Raw genomic sequence first — 8,626 nt, 5'->3', positions numbered from 1 at the left:
CTACCATTATGACTATCAGAAAGATAATGCCAAGAGTTTGGAGTATTCTATTTAGCCAGGATCCCCATAAACCAAACCAACTAAAATCAAATAGATCAAAGAAAAAACCAGATGAGGAATCTACTCATTTTAACCAAGTAACCTGTTGGTTAATTTTTTCCATGGAGTGTCTACAATACCGGATGTATTTATGCATGTCAACAAGAAGTGTCAGAAACTTCACAGACTCCTCCCTGTTCAGCTAGTAGGTAGTAGATATGCTATTGTCTAGTGTCCCATTACTGGGACATGGAGTAAGAACAAGTGGGAGGCCAGGCACGGTGGCTCATGCCTTAATCCCAGCACATTGGGAGGCTGAGGTGGGTGGATTGCTTGAGGTCAGGAGTTTGAAACCAGCCTGGACAACATGGTGAAACCCTGTCTCCACTAAGAATACAAAAATTAGCCAGGTGTAGTGGTGCGTGCCTGTAATCCCAGCTACTTGGGAGGCCGAAGCAGGAGAATTCCTTGAACCCGGGAGGTGGAGGTTGCAGTGAGCTGAGATCGTGCCACTGCACTCCAGCCTGGGTGACAGAGCAAGACTCCGTCTTGGAAAAAAAAAAAAAAAAAGAACAGGTGGGTCTGGAAATCTAACCCTATAAAAGGTACCACTAGTTTAATTTGAACAAACAGGTTCATTGGGAATGTTGCTAAAATTAGCCACTGGGTGAACTAAAGGATTTCTTAGGTCACGTAAAGATTTAGGTTTGACGTGACAGATCCAACACTCTGCCAAGTTACCCTCAGAAGCTACTTATTGTGAAACTCTAATTATATCATTATCCTTCCAAGTGAAAGAGGTATGTATAAGCAAGGAAAAAATAAGAGGGACAAGAGTCTCATTATAATGGGGATTCTAGTTCCAACATCTTGGGAAAAGCTGTCCACAGCAAGAAGTCATCAACTTTTTATCCTGGTTTGCAGTTGGAATGTTTCTGCTTATGGCACTGGGCATTTTGGTGAATGAACTTTCTGTGCAGCCCACATATCAGGCACAAGGCTGCCCTCTAAATTTACATTGAATTGTCCCGCTTCAGCTTCGAGGGTTTCAAGAACAGAGCAGTTCTTGCTCTTAGTGATTTCACGGGATTGGATTGAAGGAACTTCAAGGAAGGAAAATTGGATTGAAGGAACTTAGAAGAATTCAGGATCCAGTCCAGTATACAGGTAGAGAATAAAAACTTGAAAACAATGAATAAGGCTATAATCTAATGATAGGTATACTGTAGTTTTTCTTCTGAAACAGTCTCTCTCCACAGTCATCCCCATTTCCAAAGATAACCAAAGTATGATGAATTTATTTGCAAAATAAATTTAGCCTCATTAAACTTGGCCTAATTATCTACATAGGTCCAACAAAAATATTGAAAGACCACATAGGCTGCTTTTAAGTTTGCTTTGCAGATTTGTGATAAAGAATCTCAGATTGTACTTTTTAAAACTTCTTAAAGCTAGGAAGCCAAACTAAGGCAGACTTCAGACTTTGCCTATAGAAACTATAGATTCATCCTATGTACATTCTCAAATATGACATCCTAGGCAAAACCTTGGTAATATAACCAATATTTCCAATTGTGTCATGCTCTAAAGGGAGCAGACTCTTATGGAACTTATCCAGATAACTACATTGCCATAAAAATAAGAATACTCATAATTAGCTTCCAAATTCTGGAGGAATTAGATGGGGAGAAAAAGTCAATTTACCAAGGTGGTATAAGTTACAGATAGCTTCAGAAAAAGTTTCCTTAAATCTGCAAAACAAAACATCAAAAGAACCAGTAATGTTTCAAATAAAACAAAAAATAAAACCCCGTAATTCTTCTTTATCAGTTTATTCAGTCTCATTTAATCAATTTGAGATCTAAAAGGGCTCCTTAGGGGGCAACAATAAAATGAAGGTTGAGAAACACTGGCATGTTTTGGGATCTATCTGCATGTTTGAAGTTTCAGTTGGATTGTGTGGTATTTAGCACATGACTCCATTTTGGTTTGGTCTGGTCTATTTGATCCTGGTTAGCACTTCCATAAACCCACGAGTTTCTTCATTAGATTTCTGGAAATCCTTACTCAGTTTAATGATATGATCTAAAAGTTATCAGAAACTTGTACTTGTCAGAGCTGAAGCCACACACTTTAGGATTGTAGTTGCTTGCAAAAAGCTTTCAGAAAAGAATTAGAATAAGCAAATTAACTGTCAACCACAAGACTTAAAATGACCTTTGTTAAAGATTTGATGAGAGTTCATTATAATAATGACACAACTTACAAGAAAATGTTATTTCTGTGGCAAGTATTTTAAAATAATAACTAAAATTATGACTAATAGCAAATCTCTAGGAATTTTGTACAATTCGGGGAACATATACTAATAACATAGCCATGCAAATGGCTATGCAATATACTAATAACATAGCCATGCAAATGGCTAAGCAAAACTCCAAGAAGATTAAATATTACTTCTTATTTGACAGCGCTTTCCATATAATTAACATATTAAATAAGCCTATTAGTTTAATATATATCTTAGAAGACATAATTTAGAATTTGATTTTGGGAAGTTTGTCAAAAATATCAAAGATTTAAAACACTTGAAGCTGGGCATGGTGGCTCACACCTGTAATCCCAGCACTTTGGGAGACCGAGGTGGGCAGATCACCTGAGGTCGGGAGTTCGAGACCAGCCTGACCAACATGGAGAAACCCCGTCCCTACTAAAAATACAAAATTAGCCGGGTGTGGTGGTGCATGCCTGTAATCCCAGCTACTTGGGAGGCTGAGGCAGGAGAATTGCTTGAACCTGGGAGGTGGAGGTTGCGGTGAGCTGAGATCGCGTCATTGCACTCCAGCCTGGGCAACAAGAGTGAAACTCCATCTCAAATAAATAAATAAATAAATAATAAAAATAAAAAAGGGCTGGAGGTGGTGGCTCACCCCTGTAATCCCAGCACTTTGGGAGGCCAAGGCGGGCAGATCACAAGGTCAGGAGTTCAAGACCAGCCTGGCCAACATGGTGAAACCCTGTCTCCACTAAGAATACAAAAATTAGCTGGGCATGGTGGTGGGCACCTGTAGTCCCAGCTGCTATGGAGGCTGAGGCAGGAGAATTGCTTGAACCCGGGAGGCTGAGGTTGCAGTGAGCCGAGATCACGCCACTGCACTTCAGCCTGGGTGACAGAGCGAGACTCCGTCACAAAAAAAAAAAACAAAAACACTTGCTCAAAATAGGATCACAGGTAGCTACGAAATATTAGTTATTTCCTTAACCAGGGTGATAATTAAGACTCAAAGGCAAATACAGAAAGTTACATAGTTATAGATAAAACCTTAGCTCTTTAATAGAGAGGTATGAGGACAAGAATGACTTTAATTTAAAGCTTAATCCTCCTGGCTACCCTAAATCTAGGGAATGCCTCCAAAATGTCTAGTGGGCACATTCTTCTTCTTTTTTGAGAGGGAGTCTTGCTCCGTTGCCCAGGCTGGAGTGCAATGGCATGCAATCTCGGCTCACTGCAACCTCCGCCTCCTGGGTCCAAGCAATTCTCCTGTCTCAGCCTCCCTAGTAGCTGGGATTAAAGGCATCCACCACCACGCCCCGGCTACATTATTCTTTATGTAGGAACACCTATTCCTTGTAAATTTCCTTCAAAACCACCCTTGTTGTGGCAGAAATCGCAGGCTGTGACATCTGTAGCCACCTACACGTCCCTTCCGGAGCATGCATGCTTTTTCTCCAAGATACCTGAGTCCGGGGGATTGTGGTATGGAGATCTACCTGTCTCACAGCTGCCCAAAACCACACTTCTGTCTGTAAGTTCCCCTCATAAATCACCCCAAACTGACAAACTGGATTTTTCTGCCTCTTTTGGTTTATTGGCTCTTTTGGCATTTGGGGGCTACTTTGCATGTATGATTTGACCCTTTCATGGAATTAGATAACTCAGTTTTCTTAAGTGACCAAGATCTAATAAAGCCAACATGAAGCACAGGGAATTTTGATAAAACACAAAAACTTTGTCTCCTGGAATAATTACTTAAAAATGTAAAGAAAAACTTTTTACTATTTCCTATTACTATTTCCTATTTAGTTTTATCTAAAACTCCAAGAAAACTTTGTTGTTATAACAGAGAGAACCAAATTGTAGTTTTGCATCAGTGTACTTTTAATACTAATGCTCAGTTTTTAGAAAAACTTATAACTAATTCCCTTCTAATTTTACCCAATTTGATCACACGTAAGATTCTTTTCCCAAGATTCATCTTCCACAAACTTCTACAACCTTCTTATATCTCTTCAGTTATTTGCCCTGTTCTTTTATTGTTTCTTACGTTGGGACAACCAGTCATTCTACTTTAGGATGAAATTTACTCCTTTTCCTTTAATATAAACACATCTTTCATGTAAGTTTCACTTATTACTTTCTTTGCATAAGGAGTTGTTTCCCTTACTATTTTTAGTTATAATTACAATATACTAATTAGAATTTTTCACTTGTAGTGACCTTAATTTCTAGGTAAGCAATTTTGAACAATTTATGTCAGCATTTTGTAGATGAGTACCATCTCATAATTTTTAGAAACATAGGTTTCATCAATTTCTGTTTATTAATAGCTCCAAATATATTTAGCTTCTCTATACCATGTAAAAACAAGATACCAAAGTATGTATACTTTAACTGATGTTCAGCAATTAATGTTTCAACATTTTAACTTCTATAGAAATGACTCAGACATTTCATAAATATCTATTACTTAATATAACATAACTTTAAGGTTTCAAGTTTCTGAAAAAAATGTGAAACCATAAAAAGTTTATTTATAAACATTTATCCCATTTGCATTTATCCAGTTTACTTGTTCTTAACATTTCTGTTTGAATTGCTCATGGAAAACAAGGCTAGCCATCATCTTAAGTTATTTCTTGACATAGTATCAAAAATATCACAGAAGCAAAGAAACTAAAAAGTTAAATATAGTTTTTCTCTCCTTTTTACTTCCATGACTGACATGCATCAAGCAATTAATTTTCTTTCTTCCTTTCTTCTTCTTTTTTTTTTTCAGACAGGGTCTCACTCTGCCGCTTAGGATAGAGTGCAGTGGTGCGATCATGGTCCACTGCAGCCTTGACCTCCTGGGCTCAAGGGATCCTCCCACCTCAGCTTCCTGAGCAGCTAGGACCTCATGTGTGCACCACCGTGCCTGGCTAATTTATTTTTTAACATTTTGTAGAGATGGGGTTGTTACTGGTGGAATGTGTCCGAGTTACCACAGGGATCTGCAGCAACCTCAATTCTTGGCTTCTCAGAAGAAAGACTGACTGAGGCAGAAAAAAAGACCGAGGCAAGTTTCAGAGCAGGAGTGGAAGTCTATTTTAAAAGTCTCTAGAACAGGAAAGAAAGGAAAGTATGCTTTGAAGAGTTCCAAGTGGGCACCGAGGTCAACTGTGATATTGAACCTTGATCCTAGGACTTTCCGGGCTGGTCCCTTTCCCGTGATCATTCCCTTAGGGTGGCCTGCCACATGCACAGTGCCCTCGTTATTCTTGTGAGGTGAGCAAGTGCAGTGTGTTTAGGAGGTTGTACGCATGCCCATCTGAGGCTTTCTTCCCTTTTCTGGTGGAGTGTCCCCAGAAGGTTATGCTCTGCCATTTGGTCTCTTAACGAGCATACCCGGGCAGTTGCTTCTTCCTAGCATCTGCATTCAATTAACATTTTAGTGCAACAGGTGTGGACCATCAGGAAATGGTCTCTCCCTTGCATCAGCTTTCAATTGACCACTTTTAGAGAGGCAAATGTGGTGACTGCCGAACCATCACTTGACATTCCTAGTGGGTGGGGGGAGAGCCCTCTCCAGCCCTGCTCATGCCTGTCTAACTACCTGTAACAGGGTCTCCTATGTTGCCCAGGCTGGTCTTCAACTCCTGGACTCAAGCGGTCCTCCCACCTTGACCTCCCCAAGTATTCGGATTATAGGTATGAGCCACTGAGTTCAGCCAAGCAATTTATTTTCATGAGGCATTCTGCTCTTGGGTTGAAACTTTAAACATAACAATGTTAGTTTTATAGCCTTAAACATCTAGGAGATAACATGCTTGTTTGAGAAGTAAATCTAGGTTTAAAAAAGTATGTTTGCATTATTACTAATGCTGACAATTTTTTTTTTCTTTCTTTCTTTCTTTTTTTTTTTTGAGACGGAGTTTCGCTCTTCTTGCCCAGGCTGGAGTGCAATGGTCCGACCTTGGCTCACTGCAACCTCTGCCTCCTGGGTTCAAGCGATTCTCCCGTCTCAACCTCCTGAGTAGCTGGGATACAGGCGCCTGCCACTATGCCTGGCTAATTTTTGGTATTTTTAGTAGAGACGGGGTTTCTCCATGTTGGCCAGGCTGTTCTCGAACTCCTGACCTTAGGTGATCCACCCGCCTCGGCCTCCCAAAGTGCTGGGATTACAGGTGTGAGCCACCATGCCCAGCCTTACTAATGCTGACAATTTTAAATATATTCCTGTTTTTATTTTACCAACAATTTCAAAACTAGCTTTATTTACCAATGATTATCTCAGATTACATGAACTAAAACTGAATTGAGTTAGTTTCTATTTTTCTGAGGGAATACTTATCTAAGTGTTTATTTTTTTCTTTATGTCAATTAAATAGAGTTCTTTATACATTTTGAAAAGATTGAAACCGCCACTGCAAAATTATAACAGAGAGAATTATAGTGGTGAAAGGGATCTGACCTAACCAGCTCCACCTTGCTTCTAACCTTGAAGCTGCCCTTGTTCATTCCTGGGTGCAGGTGCAGGCCAAACTAACTTTGGGAGGAACTTTTAGTTTAACTTTGAAACAAAGACGGTAACAGCCCTTTCTCAAAACAAACTCCCTTCCTGCCCAGGAACTAGACTGCTTTATAGGACTGACAAATTAGCCACAAGATTAGAAACTGTGGGTTTAGAAGTCATGCCCCTGGAGGCTGTAAGATTCTGACCTCCCAAATTGCTCCTGGGGATAATATCACTGTTGTAAAACCTAAGATCAGTACTTGAGATATTTTGCAGCACCCCCCACCCCGCCGCCCCGCACTTGATGGATCAGCTGGCACCATCAAGATTGATAAACTGGCTCATCTGGTCTTGTGAATCCCACCCAAACTGACTCAGCACAAGAGGACAACTTCAACTCCCTATGATTTCATCTCTAACCCAGCCAGTCAGCACTCGCGACTCACTGGCCCCTACCCACCAAATTATCCTTAAAAACCCCAGTCCCCAAATTCTCAGAGAGACTGATTTGAGTAATAATAAAATGCCAGTTTTCCATACAGCAGGCTCTGCATAAATTAAGCTCTTTCTCTATTGCAATTCTGTCTTGACAAATTGGCTCTGTCTAGGCAGCAGGCAAGGATAATCTGCTGCGTAGTTACAATATCATTCAAGGTAAAAAATATTACATATACAGGTCGGGCGCGGTGGCTCACGCCTGTAATCCCAGCACTTTGGGAGGCCAAGGTGGGTGGATCACAAGGTCAAGAGATGGAGACCATCCTGGCCAACATGGTGAAACTCGGCCTTTACTAAAAATACAAAAATTAGCCAGTCATGGTGGCACGTGACTGCAGTCCCAGCTACAGGCTGGGACTCAGGAGGCTGAGGCAGGGAATCTTTGGAATCCGGGAGGTGGAGGTTGCAGTGAGCTGAGATCGCACCACTGCACTCCAGCCTGGTGACAGAGCGAAGACTCCATCTCAAAATAAATAAATAAATAAATAAATAAATAAATAAATAAATAAATAAATAAATTTAAAAAAATTACATATACATAACACACATACATATATAGACATACATAAACATGCAGATAGAAGCAGATCTTAGAGCGTTCATTAAGAATGTTTCATTTGCCAGTTTCCAAAATTGTTTCTCTCCTCTTTAAGACTTTTAATTAATTAGTTAGCTTTTTGAGACAAGGTCTCGCTGTGTTGCCCAGGCTAGAGTGCAGTGGCGACATCTCAGCTCACTGCAACCTCCTCCTCCTGGGCTCAAGCCATCCTCCTACCTCGGCCTCCCAAGTAGCTGGAACTACAGGTGCATGCCAGCACATGCCAGGCTAATTTTTTGTAGAGACAGGGTCTTGCCATGTTGCCCAGGCTGGACTTGAACTCCTGGACCCAAGTGTTCCACTTGCTTCCCAAAGTGCTGGGATTACAGGCCCGAGCCACCTTGCTTGTCCATCCCCCTTTAAGACTATCAGTCTTTCAATTACCTGTTCCATTGCCCTAAGCCCAGCAGCGCTAAATTTGTCTTTTTTTTTTTTTTTTTTTTTTTTTTTTGAGACGTAGTCTCGCTCTGTCGCCCAGGCTGGATGGAGTGCAGTGGGCGATCTCTGCGCATTGCAACTTCCGCCTCCCGGGTTCACGCCATTCTTCTGCCTCAGCCTCCCGACTAGCTGGGACTACAGTCGCCCGCCACCACGCCCGGCTAATTTTTTGTATTTTTAGTGGAGAGGGAGTTTCACCATGTTGGCCAGGATGGTCTCTCGTTCTCCTGACCTCGTGATCCACCCGTCTTGGCCTCCCAAAGTGCTGCGGTTACAGGCG

At 41.1% G+C, this 8,626-nt stretch overlaps 1 annotated feature.

The window, feature by feature from the left end:
- Positions 5,469-6,087: an enhancer, noted in NCBI's record as "OCT4-NANOG-H3K27ac-H3K4me1 hESC enhancer chr5:174988020-174988638 (GRCh37/hg19 assembly coordinates)". NCBI's record gives its function as "activates a minimal SCP1, AML or CMV promoter by ChIP-STARR-seq in primed H9 embryonic stem cells {active_cell/tissue: H9 hESC(primed)}" and the evidence as "EXISTENCE:reporter gene assay evidence [ECO:0000049][PMID:30033119]".

The sequence above is a fragment of the Homo sapiens genome, chromosome 5 (assembly GCF_000001405.40).
Source record: "Homo sapiens chromosome 5, GRCh38.p14 Primary Assembly".
In the NCBI taxonomy this organism is placed as follows: domain Eukaryota; kingdom Metazoa; phylum Chordata; class Mammalia; order Primates; family Hominidae; genus Homo; species Homo sapiens.
Note: the sequence above shows the minus strand (reverse complement) of the source record. Positions and strands in the feature narration are given on the sequence as shown.